Raw genomic sequence first — 21,780 nt, forward strand, 5'->3', positions numbered from 1 at the left:
ATCATAATTTTTTGGTCAAAGGTCTATAAAACGCTGGCTAATTCTGAGGATATGGTGCAAAAAAATATGATTTTGTTAACCACAACAAAAAGAAAGGTAAGAAATGCTAGGAGAAAGCTAAAAGCTCCATACTAAAATAATGGTCCTAATATTAAGCAAAGTAAAATGTGGTATGATTTTGAGTGGTCAGCAGAGTGTAAGAATAATCTATTTGCACTTGATACTTTCAGCTGTCACAGAGGTCATAGAATTGGGCTTATTGAGAAGGAAAGGTAAATGCTAGTACACTACTTGGCTCAGAAGTGAACAAAATTGCAGTTTGCTCAAACAACTCCATAGGAAAAAGTCTAATAATCTGATGTAAAAATGGGCAGAAGATTTGAATAGATATTTCTCAAAAGAAGACATACGAATGGCAAACAGACATATGAAAATGTACTCAAAATCATTGATCATCAGAGAAATGTAAATCAAAACTGCAATGAGATATCATCCGACTCCAGTTAAAATGGCTTTTATCCAAAAGTCAGGCAATAAAAAATGCTGGTAAGGATGTAGAGAAAAGGGAACCCTTGTACACTGTTAGTGGGAATGTAAATTAATACAATCACTATGGAGAACAGTTTGGAGGATCCTCAAAAAACTAAAAATAGAGCTACCATATGATTCAGCAATCTCACTGCTAGGTATATACCCAAAAGTATATTGAAGAGACATCTGCACTCCCATGTTTGTTGCAGCACTGTTCATAATAGCCAAGATTTGGAAGCCACCTAAGTGTCCATCAACAGATGAATGGAGAAACTGTGGTACATATACACAACGGAGTGCTATTCAGCCATAAAAAAGAATGATACTCTGTCATCTGCAACAACATGAATGGAACTGGAGATCATTATGTTGTTAAATAAGCCAGACACAGAAAGACAAACATCACATATTTTCACTTATTTTGGGGATATAAAAGTCAAAACAAACTCATGGAGATAGAGAACAGATAGACGGTTACCAGAGGCTAGGAGGAGGAGTGGTGGGGGGCAGTTAGTGATGGTTAATTGGTACAAAAAAATGGTTAGAAATAATAAATAAGACCTAGTATTAGATAGGACAACAGGAGGACTATAGTCAAAAATAATTTATTTGTACATTTCAAAGTAACTAAAAGAGTGTAATTGTATTATTTGTAGCACATAGGATAAATGCTTGAGGTGACGGATACCCCATTTACCCTGATGTGATTATTACACATCGTATGCCTGTACCAAAAGATCTCATGTACCTCATAAATACATACACCTACTATATACCCACACAAATTAAAAATTAAAAAAATTTAAAGAAATTACAGTTTGTTGGTTTTGAATATTTGACCAAATTTTTTACTAAGCACAGATAGATTGAATATAATTTTATTGTCCTTTTGACATTATGATAATGAAGGTATCTACACAGAAGTCTGAGATGAGAAAAAAATGATATAATATCCACCTACTACATAGTGGGTAGTTTATATACTAAAGTTATTGTTATGAGAAAGAATGGCTTAGGAATATTATTTAAAATTAATTAAGGGGTGTTAAAAATAAAATACCAAGTGTAAAAATGACAAAGGCAAGAAGAAACAGTATATAATGTGAGTAAATCTTAATCTTTCCAAGAGAGGAGACAGTACATAATGTCTAAAATTGTTAAACCATGAAATAGAAATATAGTTATTTTATTCATAATTAAGGAGATAACTACTATAGCACGAAATCGTGCCAAAAATGGTTGCCTCTGGGAAATGTGATTATAGATATTATAATATTTTGGACTGTAAAAATCTGCTTTTAAGACTGAGGAAATACAAATAGGACAATATTTATTTGAAATTTGTATCCTCAGGGAGTGTAAAGAAATTAATGTATCCACAAAATAATAATAGCTGCTATTTGAAAACATAGTTTTCTTGAAAGTTAAAATAGTAATAGTCTTCTAAAAATTTTGTTAGTTTTGGTTTTCTCTTTAATCTGAGTTATGTAGAAAAGTGCTTATTTCAAATTAGGTAGGCTTGTTTTATTCCTTTTTCTGTCTTTTTTCTATCAACTAGTGTTTTATTGTGTTCAGAAAATGCCATGCATTAAAAGACTACTTTTGAGAATTTCTAGAGATTTTCTTTGTTACTAAAGAGATTTTTGTAATTGTTACATGGGATTTTAAAAAGAATGTAAATTATCCTTTTTGTCAAGTATAATGATTTCTGAAACCTAGCTGTGTCAGAATACTGTATAATACTGTAATAGTATGTTGTTTTTGGCTATGTGTACTTATTTCTTAGAGTGGTATGTTAAAGCCTCGACCTTGTGACTTTGTTTATTTCTCTCTCTACATCTAAACATTTCCAAGACATGTTATTTGCAATACCAAGACCATAACTATTATGTATTTAATCAAAATAAAATATTTCGGCTCTCTATAATTCACCTTGAACTTTATTTTGTTAAATATAAATGTTGTTGATTATACAACATTTCATTATCAATCCCTAGACACATTTCTAATCCACTATAATTGTTTTAAAATAAAAGGAGAAGGGAAGGTTGTAGTAAAACCCTCCCCAAACTCCTCCTCCATAAAAGCAATGAAGATACTGGCAAAAAAAAAAAAGTCAAAATCAACTTTTTCAGAACTCTGGAAACTAACTGAAGCTTTTCAACAATCTGAGGAACTTTTATTTTAGAAAAATAATTGGATCTTGGTAACAATGAGCTTTGTGGTGCTTGAACTTACTTTATGCCCATTCAAATTCATGATATCCTTTAAGACCAATAGATTTACACTCGCAGTAACTGAGAAACAACAGCCTAGCAGTCACTGGATGGGAAGAAGGGTTTAGAAATCACCCAAATCCACATGCGAAATGACCATTTGACCTGTGTGGAAGCTACCTGAAAAACTTCATTCTCAAGGTTTATTATTATTTTATTTAGTTAGTTATTTAGAGAAAGAGTCTCACTCTGTCACCCAGGCTGGAGTGCAGTGACATGATCATGACTCACTGCAGCCTTGACCTCCTAATTTCAAATGATCCTCCCACCTCAGCCTCCCAAGTAGCTAGGACTACATGTGCTTGACCAACACCTAGTTAATTTTTTGTTTTTTTAGAGACAGGAGTCTTGCTATTTTGCCCAGGCATGTCTCAATTTCCTAGCCTCAAGTGTTCCTCCCACCTCAGCCTCTCAAAGTGCTAGAATTATAGGTGTGGCAGGTTTATCTTTATTTGATAAAGGCCTGACTTAGAGCTTTCTCTGTGAGAATAGCCAAATTCCCAGGTGTGTGTCTAAAGCAACTATTGGTAATTGTTTAACAAGACAGCTTCCTTAAGCAGAGATCCCATTTAGGGCTAATAAGTGGCTAAGAAACTTAAAAGGAAAAACTGGGGAATGAAAGGACTTTAGAGGATATTTAAAAGCTCCACACATTCCTGGGAATCTAGAAGGCCACATGCATGTGCAGGACGCTGAACATGTACAGAAAACACTGGAGAAGGTCTTAATTGCTCACCTATGGCTGACCTTTAGTTGCTGTAAAATCAAAAGTAAAGGTTAAGGCAGAACTGTAAATTATCTGAAGTGTTGAAGATGTTCCTGAACATAAACACAGAGTCGGTCAGCAAAGGCTGTGAAACTTATTGGTCTAAGGTATGTAAGGAGATCCCTGTCCAATCGCTAGCTGATGACTAAATTAAAGAATACAGACTTGACAGAATTAGTCCAGGAAATCACAAATAAATAAAAGAAAAATAAACAAAGAGAGGCACAACAAATAGCAACAGTAGCAAGTCCTGGAAGCCTTATTATCATCTGATTTCCAGAGTTGCCACAATATGTTTATTTTAAATGCTTCACTTTTCAATAAAAAATCTTGAGATACCCAAATAAATGAGATAGATGTATGCCCTTTATATATGGTGTTGGGGGGCAGAGGTGGAGGAATAAATAGTCAATAGAAACTATCCCTGAGAAAGGCTACTGGACTATTAAGACCTTGTACTTACTAGTCAAAGATTTTAAATCAGATATTATAAATATCTTTGAGAACTAAAGGAAACCATGTTTAAAAAATTAAATAAAAATATGAGACTATCTCAAATAGAAAATATCAATAAAATGGTAGAAATAATTTTAAAGTAAAGTAGAAATAATGCACTTAAAAATTAAATGATATAAAAATTTTACTAGAAGGACTCAAAAACGGATTTGAAATGGGAGAAGATGGAATCAATGGAGCTAAAGATAGATCAATTGAGATTATCAATTCTAAGGAACACAAAGAAATATGAATGAAAAAAGTTGAGCAGAGCCTCAGGGATATGTGGGACATCATCAAGCACACCAACATAGGCATAATAAAGTCCCAGAAGGATTGGAGTGAAAGAAAGAGGCAGAAAGAATATCTGAAGAAATCGTAGTATAAATTGTTTCCTATTTGATAAAAAACACTAATTTGCACATGCATGGAGATTAAGGAACTCAAAATAGAATCAACTAAAAGGGATCCACACCTAGACAAATCATAGTAAAATTGTCAATAGCCAAGGACAAAGAGAGAATTTTGAGAACAACTCATCACCTATAAGTGATCAATAAAATAACTTTCTATCTGAAACCATGGTGGCCAGAAATGGAATAACATTTTCAAAGTGTTGTAATAAAATCATTGCCAATAAAGAATTATATACCCAAATAAATTTTCCTGTGAAAATAAAGAGAAAATTAATTCCCAGACAAAAATTCTGAAAAATTAATCCCTAGCAGACCTGCCCTAAAAGAATTACTAAATGGGGCTTTCTAGGCTGAAATGAGAGATACCAAAGAGCAACTTGAATTCACATAAGACACAAGAATTACTGTTAAAATTAACTACATAAATAAATATAAAACATTATAAATATATTTTTATTAGTAACTCTTCTGTCTGATTTAAAAGGCAACTGCGAAAAGCAATAATTATAAAAAAGTGTTGATGGGCTTATAATGAATATACCAATAATTTAAACTGATTTTACATTTAAAAATTATTAATGAATTTATTTATGGATTAAATGTTAATGCAGAAATTAGATTTCCTCATCTTTACATGGGATATTTATAGAAAGAGACATATATATCACAATTAATAATAAACTATCAAATGTTTCCCATTAATATTAAATAACACAAGAATTGTGACTACCATATTACTGTTATCATTCAGTATTTTTCTGGATTTTCTAGTGCATTCAGTCAGACCAGTAAAAGAAAAATAAAGAGAGATATAATTATTACATAGGAAGCCACAAAGCTGCAATTATTTTCAAACAATGATTTAAAAATACATGTTTATTAGAAAATAATTTTAATGAAAACCCCCCAAAAGTTAGTGCTAATAGCTTAGGTAGGTGAATTGACAAGACATTATCTAAATATACAAAACCCAATAGTTTTCATGTACACAAGTCATTACCAACCAGGTAATACTGAAAAACAAATATGTAACTCACAATAGTACCAAGTGCATAAAATATCTATGAATAAATAGGAGCCCAGAATGAAATATTTGCATCCTATATAGTAGATTAAGTATTAATAAACATCCAGTAGAAATCAGCATATCAGGAAAATATTACTTGTAAGTCAATAAGATAAAAGACACAATACAGTAGCAAAAAAGCAGAAATATGCAGGCAAAATTTCTTAGGTTAAATAATTGATACTGAACAATAAACCACTTTAAAAGTTATAAAAGATTATCAAGCTTGTAAATAAACCAGATCCCATTCCGGGTATAGTTATGCAGTTCAATATGGTAAACACTAGTCACATGTGGCTTTTTAAATCTAAATTAAATAAAATTAAAAATTTAATGTCTTAATTGTACCACCCAAATTTCAAGTGCTCAGTAGTCATATATAGCTAGTGGCTACTATATTAGACATCATAGATACAGAATATTTACATCAATGCAGACAATTCTACTGAGCAGAACTGGTCTACGAGGTTTAAATTAGTTATGTGGGAAATGGGCCCTGGTTCACTATTGGTGGGAGCGTAAATGTGTCCAGCTTTTATAGAGAGAAATGTGGCAATATATGAAAAAGTTAAAAATGGATTAAGAACATTATTTCTTAGTGAGCTATCATCATTTTTGTACATATGTACAGAAAGATAATAAAAGGACACTCATAACATTATTTTATCATGCACAGCAAATAATTGGAAATATTCTAAATAACATTGACAAATATAGTTAGCTAATTTACATAACCTATTAAGTGAAAAAGCAAGTAACAAAACAATATAAATAGTATATTATGTGTGTATGTATGTGTGTGCATTTGTGATATGGTGAGACTTTGTGTCCCCACCCAAATCTCACCTTGAATTATAATCCCCATAATTATCATAATCCCCACATGGCAAGGTGGAGGTAATTGAATCATGGGGGCAGTTTCCCCCATGTTGTTCTCATGATAGTGGGTGAGTTCTCATGAGGTCTGATGGTTTTATAAGGGGCTCTTCCTCCTTTGCTCTGCACTTCTTCTTCCTTCTACCTTGTGAGGAAGGTCCTTGCTTTCTCTTCACCTTTCCCCATGATTGTAAGTTTCCTGAGGCCTCCCAGCCATGCTGAACTGTGAGTCAATTAAACCTCTTTCCTTTATATATTACCCCATCTTGGGCAGTTCTTTATAGCAATACAAAAATGGACTAATGCAATTTGTAAAATCTGTGTGTATTTTTTGTAACTGGAAGAAATAGGCTTTCAAGGATGCTCGATAAACTTTTACAATAATATTATATAATAGTTAACCTTAGAGAGAGTTGAAATTTAAAAGATACTATCATGTTTTGCTCTTCTGCAGTGTTAGAGTTTTATTCTTTTCATAATTAAAAAAAAAGTTTAAAGAAACCGTAGTAGTAGAAGCAGCGCCCTAAGTATTTTTCCCACCATTTTAGAGATTTCATCCATTTCAGAGAAACAGTTAACATTGTCACAAACACTAAGAAAATTATTAGTGTCATACACCCACTTTCCTCAAATAATGGCTGCAATTCAGATATGGAATTCTGAATAATAAAAAATTATACATACTTAAGAAAGAAACATAAAAAATACTTTTCTATTTTCTAATGTATTACTAAGTTCAGTGAATTCAAATAGAATCCAAACTGTGGCTTGATTGTATCTATACTGAAACAACATCAATTTTTCATCTTTAACTGTGTGTGTGCTATTAACTTTAAGCCTGATTCATCTCTTGAGGGCTGAGGTGACATACTCATGTAGAGCTATCCTAGAATACAGCCAAGAGCATGGAAAACAAATCTAATTGTTTTTGTAAAAGTGAGAAATATACATATATTATTTTAGCTGGAACTTTCAGTCAACTGGTAGAAAAATTCAAATTTCATTCTAATATCAGAACTTACAGTTAAAGCACTAAAACATATTTATCAGATTCTCCTTTAGTATACACAGATGATTTCTTGTGGGTATGAACATTTTATATCCTATATGTCCCTATCACTTTGCATGTCAATTTTAATAACTTTAACATGTTTTTGATAAAAGTCACACCTAACATTTATGAATAATTTAATTTTACTATATAAATAACCATTTCTATATTTTCTCATTTAAATTTCATTAGTACACTTTCTGGGAAAATGCTGTCTTTGTGCTGTTAATATCATTATGCTGATTAAGAAATACATTGGACAAAACAGTAAAGTAGTAAGATGTATTTCTAAGATGTCTTCTCTTAAACCTTTTTAATATTTCTCTCCCTATTTTATCTACTGTCTTCCTCCCACCATAACTGAAGCGTTCTGTGTTGTTTCCCACTGCAGTGGCCTATGAAGACCAGTTCTTTCTCATCATGGCTTAATGTTTCCTTCTACAGAATTTAGTTATCCCATCTCTTATCATCTCAGAATGTTGGTTTCAGCTAGTTTTCTGTTTGGAGGCAATATAAAATAGTGGTAACAAAAAGCTTTCTTTTGAAGTGTTTACATCCAAATGTACTTATGCAACCAATAGGAATAAAAACATAATGGCAAAGTTACAGAAAAAAAAGCCAATCAAAGAGGTAGAGCATTTTGAGATGGGGATGTCTGGGGTCCTTTAAGACATTACCCAAAAGCCTCGTTAGCCCTGTATAATGTTTCATACTGGATATTCCAATTAGTATGTCTGCAATGTGTTTTATTTATAAATGTTGAATTTTTCCCATTATGTTTCAAAAAAGATGTGATGGATATATTATTAGCTACAACATTATTCTTTTCTATAGACAGTAAGACCTGATTCATACAACCTCTCAAAGGCATTTCTGTCAAAGAGCAGCAAGAGAAAACTGACAGCAGAAATCCTAAATTCTAGTTCCTTATTCAAGCTTGTTCCCAATTTCTTTTTCTTTTCTTTTCTTCTTCTTGTTTTTTTTTTTTTTTTTTTTTTTTTTTTTTTTTTTTGGACAAAGTCTCGCTCTTGTTCTCAGGCTGGAGTGCAATGGCATGATCTTGGCTCACCGCAACCTCTGCCTCCCGGGTTCAAGAGTTTCTCCTGCCTCAGCATCCCAAGTAGCTGGGATTACAGGTGCCTGCCACCGTGCCTAGCTAATTTTTGTATTTTTAGTAGAGACGGGGTTTCACCATGTTGGCCAGGCTGGTCTCGAACTCCCAACCTCAGGTGATCCGCCCACCTTGGCCTCCCAAAGTGCTGGGATTACAGGCATGAGCCACCATGCCCAGCCACCCAATATCAAGGTTATTTATCAACAGATACTTTCTTAAATTATTACATGAAAGGATTTTGTGAAAATCTATATTAGTATAAAGAACTACAAATATTGCCCAGAAAAAAATAGTCATCTTTGTAAAAGGCTGTAGATACAAAATGCAAGCAACTCCGGAGCTAAAAGAGAAAAGGCTACTTAGATGCCAAGGGTCTCTCCTCAAAAATATATTTAAATTTGTGTTATAAAAGCAACATGTAACTGGGACATCATATGTTTTTTTGCAGCTCTGCTGGTGACTATGTGTTGCCTAAATCACCTAATATCTTTGGGCTTCCTTACATCATTTGTGAAGTGATGGAGCTTGAATAATAGAATTTCTAAAGATTCTCTCAGCTGAACCATTGTTTGAGTGGAGATTCCTCTCCCTCTCAGTCTAGATTTAAAAAAATTAAACTGTTTGAGCTAATTGTAGATTCACACACAGTTGTACAAAGTAAGACAGAGAGATCCCATGTACCAGCTACCCAGTTTCCTCTAGTGGTAACACGTATATAGTGCACAAGTATAGTATAATATTACAACCAGAATACTAGCATTGATTCAGTTAAGATAAAAAACAGCTCACTATTTAATTTCTTAGTATTATTCAGGAAAAGGTAGTATAATTTTTGACAGCTTACTGTATGGAGTGTTTTACATGCTTTATGTCATTTAGTTCTAATTATACACCACTTTAAAGACAAGGCTCAGCTAAAAGCAGAAGAATCAGGTTCAAGTTCTGCTTGACTTCACAGCACTTATTCTTACTATTTAGCATGCTGCCCCTGAAACAGATCTCAAAGATCTTTATCATTGCTTCACATAGCATTACATTGTGCCACATATATCACTAGAAATATATGTACATTATATGCCTTTGTTTTCCTCAGGAAAACTTTGTTTACAATCTTTTACAGAGGCACAGGCCTGGGAAGATTTAAAACATATCCAGGTCTAGGTCACCCCGCCCCTCGGTCATTTGGCCAGGATTAAATTTGCAGCATCTATCTTCCAGGCTCCCTTCTTTCTTTTCTGCCTTTTACACGATAGCCTCATTTTCTGAATAATAAATGATGGCAGAACACAGCACAGAAAGAAGAGACACTTTGAAAGGAGTCATTTATATGTTCCAAGGGAGGAAAAGTAATTTTACAATCAAATCTGCTCAGATGAGTTCCTTATTTCTATAAAATAAACAAAATCACACTTACTTTTCTATGAAGACATAAATGCAAAATTGAAAACCATGCTGATTAGACAGTCTTCTACCATCCCCTACCAATCTAGTAGAGTGCAAATACCAAAGTCTTTCTGAGCCTGTAGGGACTCTTAAACCACTGTAACTTGAGTCCCTTAGAAGTAACACTGGAGTAACAATTAATTTACACAATAAATATGTATTGAGGGCCTACCAAATGTCAAAGTTAAAAAACTGAGTACATATGGGGAACCAGAAAGATACAGCTCTTCCGTGATATATATAGAATATAAATATATATTTATTTCATAATGAATAATTTTATACAAATATAAATTATTATACAAATTAGATTTGTATAATTATATAATTATATAAGTAGACATATATTTACATGTTATATACATTATGGAGGGGATTCATGAGGCATTATAATAACATATAAAAGGGCAACTTAATAGAATATGAGAGTTCAGAGAAAATTTCTTTGAGAATGAACATCAAACTTGGAAACTGAAGAATGGGAATAACTTCTGCATTTGGACAGAAGCCTGTGGCCTGGGGACTGGTATCTTTTGTGTGGCTAAGTGCTTGCTCATTCACTTACTTGGAAATTATTCCTGGCTGTGCACTGTGTCCTTCTCTGGGGCTGTCAGCTGGAACATGTACACATGGCATGGCCTCTCCATGTGGCCTGGGCTTCCTCACAACATGGTGGCTGGGTGTCAAAGATGAGGAGAGAGAGAGAATGTGAGCCAGGTGGAAGCAGTATCACCTATTATGCTGCAGTGCCCTAGACTAGAAAGCCACTTGGCATCACTCATATTTCATTTTTTTTTAATGTAGTCACAAAGGCTAGCCCAATTTTATGGGGAGGAGAAATAGACTTTACACCTTAATGAGGAGTGGTAATACTGTGAAAGAGCATTAAAACAGCAAAGATTGTATTTTTAGAAATTTTGGGGAAATGTAATCTACCTCAAATAACTATCATAGTTCAAACCTATAAAACAGAGTACAGTTTAGCTGCCACCTTTTAGCCAAGTGAGGAAAAGCTGCAAGTCCATTTTGTAGAGCCACAAATGCAAAACCTAAATTTTAATTCTAGATTTTATGCTCAATAAAAATGCAATTTTCTCACATATATATTTTATATATTCATTTCCACTTGTTCAACTATGTGTCAAATATCAACTATATTTCAATTTCAATCTCTCAGAATTAAGTGAATAAAAGGCAGATTTATAAATAGATTTTATCAAGCATTAACTGTTTTCCACTTTCTGCCACTTTGACCAAAAAATCATTTGCTTTCTAAATGAATTTACTCCATTCACTTTAACCAATGCCCCCTTCCTTTTCTTTTGGTTATCTCTGTCTGCCACTTTACTTATTACTGTCTGAGAAAACATAATATTATGACTGCAACAAATGTATTCAACTGTCCTAATGGAAAGAATCCCAAGGGAAGATGGATAGGAATAAGCAAAGTGAAAAGAGAAACACCAATGTGGCTAGTGGTTGCGTGCAGGGCCTCTGATTTCAACCACCTGAGTTTGAAATCAAGCTCCAAAATTTGCCATTTGTGAGACTCGAGTTACTTAACCTTTTTTTAACTTTGGTTTCCTTTCTGTGACAAAAACGGTTATTATAACAGAGCCAAGCAAATTGAGTTATTTAAGTATAAAACTAAATAAAGCTTATAAACCATGCCCGGTGTTAGGCACATTTAAGCCCTCGGGAAAAGTTAGCTATTGTAGCAAAATTATTTATATTAATAGGAAAGAATGGTACCTAGTTTACCTATCCAATGAAGGTAAGCACATAGGGAAATGGATATGGGATTATTATCATATGATGTTTCCTCAGACATTCAGCCTTTCAGTACAGTAGGCTTCAGATAGCCCTGGGATAATAAATTAGTATCATCAGGGATACAGCATGAAGGCCAGTGACATTGGCCTCTCCTGTGTACCTAGACCTCTCATAGTTTCTCCCCACAAATCTGATTGGGTTAGCTTCATTATCATCTACAGTGGTCTCTGCATTTCCACCTAGACAGTTACTTTAGCAGTGTCCAGTAGATTGAGGTTTGTTTGCTTTTATCACACTAGCCCAAAAACAGAATTATTTGTGCTTCAAAGGAGACTATAGGCCTAGCAGGCTCCTAGAATTTTGTAAATTCTCTCTGAAAATAGGCATGTTTGTTTGAATTGAATATACAGCTGGGTTCCTGTAGATCTCAGAGGAGATGGGGAATCTCTTCCTCCACTGCCTTTGCCATCACTGTCAGCCATCAAACGTTTGAAAATCACCCCACTATGCTGTAGCTGCTATTGCTTGGCCTCCCGCCCTGATGACAGTTAAAACCTGCATTACTCATCGCTGACTATCTTGCGCTTCTCTTTGGCACCCAACATCAACCTGCTTCACCTCCTTATTTTTTCAACCATCATTCAAGTGTAGACTCTTTTGGGATAAGAGTTGTTTTGTCTTATTCTCCTATCAATAATGCTTTTTCCTTCTGTTCCTTGATCCCGTCTCTCTTCTGATCCTTCTAAACTCCTTCTCTAAGTCCACCATTCCATGATTAATGAGCTCTAGAGATGACTAAACTCTTTGCAAAGTACTTTGCACATCTTGGATTTAAATAAAATTTCATTCTCCCTGAAAGACCTTGATTAACATTTTCTTCTTTCAAGCAAGGCTATGTATTCTCCCATTTCTTACCTCTTAGCATTGACAGGCAGGATTTGAACACTCTGTGCTCTTCATCATCATTTTCAGACCCTTATTCATCAGCCTTCTCATAAAACTGTCATGCATCTTCACGGCTGATGCCAACAAGCTGTATTCTCTTCATCTCTATTATGGCTAAGGAGCAATCCAGGAGATGTTCTACAAATGGTGTTTAATTCTCTACTGCAGATGACATGGTCATGTTCCAGAATCCTTAGGATTTATGCTGTGAAACTCCTACTAGGGTTTGTGCGAAATTCCACACAACATGTGTTTTTCCACCACAAATTATGTATAACAATTTTAAGTTTGAAACTGTGAAGGATCTGAGACATTACTTCTGGATGAAAGAACACATCATTTATTTGCAGATCATCTCAGCAGTGCCCCAGTTCTCCTTTGGGCAACACAATGAGGGCCAGATATCACCTGCGCATATAGAGGTTTTGCTACAGAAGAGGAATCCAAAAATTATGAGAATCAGAGCTTAAGTAGGGCATCTGGTGCATCTATTCCTCCTCCTCCCTAGAGAAGGATTTTTGCTTTGCAATGTAGACAAATCTTCTCCAGGGAGAGGAAGAGGAAATCTCTAGCTTTTCTTTACCATTTTGAAATATAAGCAAATGGCTCCAGGGAGGATTTATCTTTCAGGTTGCTATTCAATCATCCTTTACTCAGAAATCCTGGATCATGCAGAAATGAAAAATATTAGTTGTTTCACAACACTGTGGTCTAGATGGTACAGTTGTTCTCATAGCAGCCTGAATCTGCTGCAAGGTACTTTTCTACTCTGAATCCTATTCAAATTTGGCTGTATTCCATGCCATCTGCTGAAGGTTAGAGTACTATTCCCAGTGGTGGACTATTCTGTCTCTTGGACCCCAAGATGCTCTGTACTTAGTGGTGGGATGTGTGAGATGCAATAATTTGTCATTTATTTTCAAGGGGATGTCCAAATATTGCCCAGACCTTTGGGACTCTCAAATTTTCCAATGCAGTTGGTCCTGATTCTTCATGGGGTTTATCTCCCATCTCCTGGAAGTCATGTGTTTAACCAAAATCATATTTTATTAACATATTTGCCACTTCTTGCTCATCTAGTCCTATTACATGGTGTTGTCTATATAGTGGATTAATATGATATTCTGTAAATGTTTAGACAGTATAGATCTTTTCAGACTATGTTAGGACTGACGACAGAAGAGTTCACACAGGCTTATGGGAAGACCATAAAAGTACATTGCTGTCTGTTTCAAATGAATTTAAACTTATTCTGGTCCTTCTTCTTATCAGGAATGGAAATAAAGACATTTGCCCAAGTAATGGCCATACAGCACTCCATGTATTTGAGCCCATGTTAATTATTCCACATCCAGTACAGCAAACAGAATTTATCTGGTTGACTAGTGAACTAATTTGGGATATAATGCAGACCATCGCCTTTGTATTTCTTAAGCCTTTAAAGGTGGCACTGATCTCTGCCATTGTCTTCAAGATACAATATTGTTTTTTTATTTACTAACTCAGCCAGCGGGAAAGGAGTTGGTGAGTTTCAGAGGTTTCCATGTAGCCTTCCTCACTACAATGTATTCTCCCAATCAGGACAGAAACACTTGTGAGAGTTCTAATATCAATCCAGTATGTCTACACCAATTACATAGTCAGGGCCAAGATCAGAGAAATGGCCACTGGTTGGTTCTGGGGACCTTGTGGACTCACTGTGTGACAACCCATGACAGTATTGCATGTATTATATACTCTACATTTGTGAGCATTTTAGATTTAGTCTAAGCCAACTTAGTGTCTAACACTAATATTTTGTATTCCTCTTTTGTGTATGGTTCCTTGTATGAATAACTATAAGCCCCTTTGTAGAAAGACTGTGGGAATCACTTTCCTACATATTTGTCCATTTGCCTGTTCAGGCAGGGTTCTTCCTCCTGAGAACCCAGTTTGCCCTTCAGCTCATATGTTTCAGATCTGAAAATTGTCTCAGATATGGAAACAGACAACCATTTGAAGCATTTCATTAGTCCTGGTGCCCTCGGCCTTTACTTCTGATTTATTTTGGTTATATGAACTGAGCAGTTTCATTTTAGGTTACAATCTATCTGCCCTTAGGAAGCTATGTTTTATTAACCATTTCCATGGTGTCCTGTGGTTCAGGACCCCAGATTGTCATGCCAGTCTTGCTGCTCAAACTCATTGCTTTATTTATTTATTTATTTATTATTCTTGAGACGGAGTCTCGCTCTGTCACCCAGGCTGGAGTGCAGTGGCACGATCTCAGCTCACTGCGACCTCCGCCTCCCAGGTTCAAGCAGTTCTCTGCCTCAGCCTCCTGAGTAGCTGGGATTACAGACATCCGCCACCATGCCTGGCTAATTTTTGTATTTTTAGTAGAGATGAAGTTTCACCATCTTGGCCAGGCTGGTCTTGAACTCCTGATCTTGTGATCCGCCCGCCTCAGCCTCCCAAAGTGCTGGGATTACAGGCGTGAGCCACCATGGCTGGCTGCTCATTGCATTATTTGTAACCTCCTTGCTTCGACAATAAAATGCCACCACCTCATATCTATATTTTGGAATTCTGTCATTCCAAATCATATTATTGGCCCAGTTGTGTAACAGTTGAGTCCAGCTGTGTAACAGTTGAGTCCAGCTGTGTAACAGAATCTCCTGCTGTTTTTCTTTACCAACAGAGGAACAGTCACTACTGAGTTTCTCAATGATATTGGTGCCTCTCTCACCAGAGCATAATTTAGCACTTTGGTAAAAGAAGTGTCCTTCAACTCCACCCGTGGAACGTGTTCAGATGGCAGATTTTCTAAGCTTACATTAATATTCACTGTAGCATGCCTTTTTCCATTATCTGCCATTGCACTTGCTCCATTTATATTTCAGTTACTATGGGCCACTGCTGTCCCCCAAAACCTCGAAGTGAAATCCAACCAGCATATTAGCACAATATCTTGGTGTGCTTGCCAGGTAATTAGACCTGGTATTGTGGGAGAATACTACTATGTCAATAAACTCCTCATTATTCAGACTTTTGTTCCACCCATCCTCCAGTCTCTTAATCCAGCAACTGCAGGATCTAGTCCTATACATCATTTTCTGGTTGCTACTGGTATATGTTGCCTGGATCATGGAGCTTCTTTGGGATATAGTTCATTTATTCCATTTCCTCCTTTCTGTCTCAGTACTTCACTAGCCAGTTAATGTTGTGGTTTGATGCTACGTATTGGTCTGGTGGTTAGGAAAGGAGGTGTGGCTAGGTTCTTAGGTGGGGTTGCAAGCTAGAGACTGCTGCATTGTCTTCAAACAGGAGGAAAGTGATAGTATTTAGCTGGAAGGAGTTGGACGTTCCTGTAAACCCAGAGAATTCGAGAGGATCTGGGGCTTCAATATTGTCTACCCACATGGCACCGTCGCACTTCTCAGAGTCTCACCCCTTTTCAACAAGAGCCTTGGCTTGATGCAGTTGAGACTTTAGCCTTCTCTGGTGCTCTGCTACTGGCCCTGATCCTCTGTTTTTTTCTGTCTGTCTATAGCTGTAAAAGATAACAGTTACTTTATATGCTGCCAACGAGGACCTCTGACTTTCACATTTTGCTTTTGAGGTGTGATTAATTACCCTCAACCTTTTGGTGTCTTCCTCCAATGCATCAGTTATGCTCAGCAAGAGCCATCTGATTCCATTGTCTTTATAATTAGTACTTGCACTGAACCTCTCAAAAGCCTGATGTGTTGTACTAGCCTGTGCAGTTCCATTTTCTGGTGTTTTGTTCCATTTCAAATAAGAAAGCTAATAACCATCAGTAGCATCAAACTTCATTCTATCTTCTTGTTTGATACATTTCTTCTCCACCAGGCAATATTCAAAATGAGTTGCAAGTACTTAGTTTAGTGTCTAACACAATGTAATTACTCTATTTATTGAAAATATAAATATTAGATTTCTTTTATGGCCTGTGTGATGACTTTCACTAAATACAATAATTGGTTGCTTGTAATATAGTGTAAATAGAATGAAGCTAATTTTAAGGGCTGACATTGGAATTGGGTTCTGTCCACTGGGATGAATTTGATTCACAATAAGAAATAGATCACAGGTAAGCTAACAGTTATTATTGATCTAAAACTGACTTGGTCAGGCTAATCTGATGTGTTGATGTGTTGGGGGTCTAATCTAGATGGCTCCAGGCTGCACCCCTTCTGTTCAAGCTTGTTGGAAGTAGACACTAACGTTCTTTGCAGAAACCTCTCCACATATTATAAAAAAAGCTACAGTAAGAGCTCTAGGTTAATTTTAAATCAACTGTATAAACATTACTAGCATCAACAATATTCATCACATGGCAAAGTTATCATGTTTGTATACACACACAGGCATATATTTTCCAATAAAATTGAATTGATTATGACTCAGAAGGGATACCAGTGAAATTCCAGTAATGCTGCTTCAACCAGTGGAACATAATGGATTCAGTTTTCACAGCCTCCCTTATCTCTACTCACAGAAACCTCTGCCTTTCATTCCCAGTGCAATTCCTTTCAAGGCAGCGTGGCATGCTATCACAGAGGGAATGTTATTCTAACTTGTTTACATCCTTGAGGGTGAGGGTCAAGGGCTCAAAGTATGTTTTCCTTCTCCCAAAGAAAGGAAGGATGAGGAAAATGGAGTTTTGTGGAGCTCCCTGGTGTTTCCACACATGCCATGTGGCAGTATAAAAAACAGCAAGGTTTTCATCTCTCAGACGTCCATGCTTACTTCCTGTCTTACATGCACTGCTGGTGTCTGGCCCAGAATCTAACAGCTCCTCTGAATGTACAAAGGATTCTGTTGTATTTTCTGTCATCTCTGTTCTTGCTTGAGCCCCACTTATGTTACCACAGCTCAGCAGTCAGCTGCTCCCACAATGACAGCCTGTCTCTTCATCTTGCAATTTCCTGTTCTCCATTTTCCACTACCAAGATGCAACAAAGGGAATTCCTTAAAGGAGTTATGTGCTTGCTTATTTTCAGAGGCGGGAGGGGACAAATTTAGCTATTTTTGACCACAGAGGTCTCTCACAAGAGCCACTGAAGTCAGATCTTTCCTCAGTTAACAGTAATCCTAAAGAGTCACCCCCCAATTTCTACTGATCACCTCATTATGCCACTATAGGGTGGGCAGAAGAGTAACTATGGCTTTTGTTATTTAAAAATCAAAAACATTAAGTAGTAATTTGAAGGACTCAGTGTCTTCTTTGCTCCCTTGTGTGCCACTTGTATTGTCACTGAATTTCTTGGTAAGTTCTAAATATTAAAAGCAAATACGGCTGACACATGATTACCAACTTGCCTGGAAAGCAAGTCAAATAACTTCTTTATTAACTTCATCACGTGCAGTTAGTAACAGAGTAAAATCCTTTAATCTGAGAGCAGTAAAAAAACTCTAATACCAGTCGGGCACAGTGGCTCACGTCTGTAATCCCAGCACTTTAGGAGGCCAAAGTAGGTGGATCGCTTGAGGTAAGGCATTCAAGACCAGCCTGGCCAACATGGTGAAACCCCGTCTCTACTAAAAATATAAAAATTAGCTGCGCATGGTGGCAGGCACCTGTAATCCCAGTCACTTGGGAGGCTGAGATAGGAGAATTGCTTGAACCCAGGAAGCAGAGGTTGCAGTGAGCCAAGGCCGTGCCATTGCACTCCAACCTGGGCAACAAGAGCGAAGCTCCACCTCAAACAAACAAACAAACAAACAAACAGCCTCTCTTAATACTTACTAATGTGCAGAAGGAAACCCCAGCTTATTTCTAAAAAGGCATCGAACCCATATATTTCTAATAAATGCATCAGTATGTAGAAAGGTTATTTTCTTCTTTTATTCATACAACTAAGTTGTACACTTCCTATAAAATTCAGTCAAGCTGAATGATTACATTTACATTCCAGATTTTGCAAATGCATGGAGTGAAAAAAAATTAAGCCAATTGAGTTGAGATTTTTTAAAAATCAAAGTGCATCCTCATAAAAATAAAATTGAATACATTTTGTAATACTCCTCTCTGTGTACTTCCAAGGAAGACTGAATATGCCCTTTAGGTTTATTGCCCAGTAGGAGGATAACCGGCTTGTAACTGGCAAACAAATATGAAATCTGAAAGATGCAGCCATCAACTCTGATAGTCATTAAAACTGATCTAAAACTGACTTATTCAAGCCAATCTGATGTGTTGGGGGTCTAATCTAGATGGCTCCAGGCTGCACCTCTTCTGTTCAAGCTTGTTGGAAGTAGACACTAACATTCTTGGCAGAAGCCTCTCCACATATTATAAAATAATCTCCATTAAGAGCGCTAGGTTAATTTTAAATCAACTGTGTAAACATTACTAGCATCAACCATATTAATTACATGGCAAAGTTATCATGTTTACATACACGCACATGCATATATTTTCTAATAAAATTGAATTGAGCATGACTCATAATGGATACCAATGAAATGAAATCTGAAAGATGCAGTCATCAACTTTGATAGTCATTGAAATTTAATTTGATAAATGATCATACTCATTTGAGTTGTAGAATAACTCTTGGATTAGTGTCTAGTTGTCAAGAGTTCTACTTTTCTGGAAACTGTCCCTGTTACAGTGAGGTGGGTCTCTACCAGCCATGGCACTGCTATATGACCTGCTTCACCTGCTGCAGTTGATTGGGTTGATATGGATGGCTTATTTAAGCTGTGGCAATCAGAAGATCCTAGGAATTTAGAAAGTTGAACTGAGAAACCAGAGGCTGGGAGCTTCTGGTAGCTCAGTTTTATTGCAAATGCTAGTGGCCCTGAGGCCTATGAATTCCCACACCTGGAACCTGCTCTGATACCAGCCTATCTGGGACTGGGTCTTTCAGCTTTAGCCTAGCTTTTGTGAGATGTGACAACATCTTCCTAAAAAATATGTTTATTTGTTTAATCTAGCTCCAGTTGGTGTCTGTTATCACCTTAAGTCTACTTTTGTCAGCTAATACCTTATGTATACCTTAAGCATATAAATATATTTTCACATTATAAACATTAATATCTTTTTACATTTCTCCTGCCTACCAACAAGTGAACAAATATTTTTCTCTGAAAATTTGCAGTCAGACTAAATGTTTGCATTAACCATAATGACACAAAATTTCAAGTATCCATTCAAAATTTCAAATATCCATTCCAAAAATGTCTTATTTAATATTACAGTTTACCAAAATAATATTGCTGAGAGAATATGCCCTTAATCTAAATATACAGAAGGTATTCTGTCAAACTATAGTGAACTTAATTTTAAATACATTCAAGTACTATATTTTAGACAACTATATTCTTAGAAAGCTCATTTCCACTGCTCGGTGTACCACATTAATTTTTGATAATTCGGTGCTCTAGCAGTGTAGAAAGATGATTGCTAAAGAACAAAATATTGTAAATATCAGCTCAGCACTTTAAATATTATTGCATGTCTAAAACAGAGCTTTTTTTTAACAATATAGGTTCCCCAAAATGTTCATAATGTTTTCTTAAATGTACAGTCTCTTGCCCTTTTACAACTGAGGAGTAATATCAGCTTCCATAGCAACACTTAGGCCATATCAAAATAGCATTTTACAAATGAAGAATCAAGTTAGTGATGCCATATCTCATTTACTACGTTGAAAGCCACATATTGAAAAATTTATCTTTTTCTATGATAAAGTAGCAGGTATTTTTGTCCTTTGCTCCCTTGAGAGATTGTCAGTTTCCTTGGATCTTGGAAGAAACACATAATATTCAGTCTCATGCTTATCATGAATACTCCATAAAGTTGAATGAAAACATACCTCTCTGGGAGGCTAATGAAGAACAGATGTAGGCAAAAACAAGTTGGTGACGTTAGGAGAGAACTCAGAAGCTAAAATAATATTAGTGGGAGTAGAGAGAATGAAAGAAAAATACCAGTTGTCAGCTTAAATGGAATTGGTGGATATAACTGAACAGCTGATAAAATAAAGAGGAAGGAAAAGGACGACCTGCAATCTCATTTTCTCTCTTTAGGTTACAGCTGTGATTTTAGTTGAAATAAAATGTGTTTCCTATTCATTTATAAAGAACATCAGACCTACAGGTTTTTAAAATCACGCTGGAAGCAGTTACAAAGAATGTTTAGGTCTTAGGCAATATGACAATGAAAATTCACTATTACTCAAGTTTAACTAACAGCAGCGTGTTTGATTCTCTGCTAATCATTTCTTTCTTTTTGGTTTTGGTTGTTTTAACATAGGTTAACAGTGGATTAAACTTCAAATTCTGGTAATCCTGAAGCTAAAATACAGCTCTCGGCTATACTTGTCACATTATACACAATTTTATCAATGACTGTAATTCCTAGAATTTGCAGTTGAAACATTATCTTTTATCCTTTCCACCCCATTTTTGCTGTTCTTAGTTCTATTTTTTATGTGTACTAGATAACTAGCTAGGGATGAAATAATAAGGATCTTTGGGACAACAAAGCTAGACAAAGTATTCTTTAAAGGTAATTTGCCCAAGCGATTAAGAATATGTGAAGAAGTATTTATCCATTTGGGACCTGCCAGTCAATTTACTTAGCGGTGTGATTATGGTTATTGCTCATTGGAGAACAGCATGGTTCCAAAGGCACAGTTGCTGTTTTACTCACTAAAAATTGGTTAGTTTGAATTTCATTATAAAATCCTTACTTGATTATCTATCACTCAATGTTTGGTCATAAAGTGCAGTCTTAAATCACCGTTTCTCCAAGCGGTTTCCTTGGACTATCACAGCCATACAACACTGTGAGCTAAGAAAACTTCCTTGGGTAGGCGAATTTGTGAAACTGCTTATTGTATCACACTCGTGGAGACAAACAATGCTCATTAAAATGTTAATAGCTCTGAAAAATCCTGCAGTATAGAAGTTTAATTTATTCATCAAATTTTTACGTATCTGTTTAACTCCCCAGGAACTGATATTTTATGCAATATATTTTGTGAAAATAAGGTTTTAGTCAGTTATTCTGAGA

At 35.7% G+C, this 21,780-nt stretch overlaps 1 long non-coding RNA gene across 4 annotated transcripts in view; it reads left to right on the plus strand.

Annotated features, from left to right (window-relative positions):
• Positions 1-21,780, plus strand: part of LOC124900602 (uncharacterized) — a 44,628-nt gene that overhangs the window by 10,170 nt on the left and 12,678 nt on the right. For 2 of the 4 annotated variants that reach the window (XR_007058465.1, XR_938983.2), the window contains one exon: positions 741-2,458. The exons of 1 other annotated variant lie outside the window; for it this stretch is intronic. This is a non-coding gene — a long non-coding RNA (uncharacterized LOC124900602). Of the gene's footprint in view, positions 1-230; positions 2,459-21,780 lie in introns of those variants that run through there. One more of the 4 variants, XR_001741764.2, reaches the window with a different exon arrangement.

This window comes from Homo sapiens, chromosome 4 (genome assembly GCF_000001405.40).
Source record: "Homo sapiens chromosome 4, GRCh38.p14 Primary Assembly".
Taxonomy (NCBI): Eukaryota; Metazoa; Chordata; class Mammalia; order Primates; family Hominidae; genus Homo; species Homo sapiens.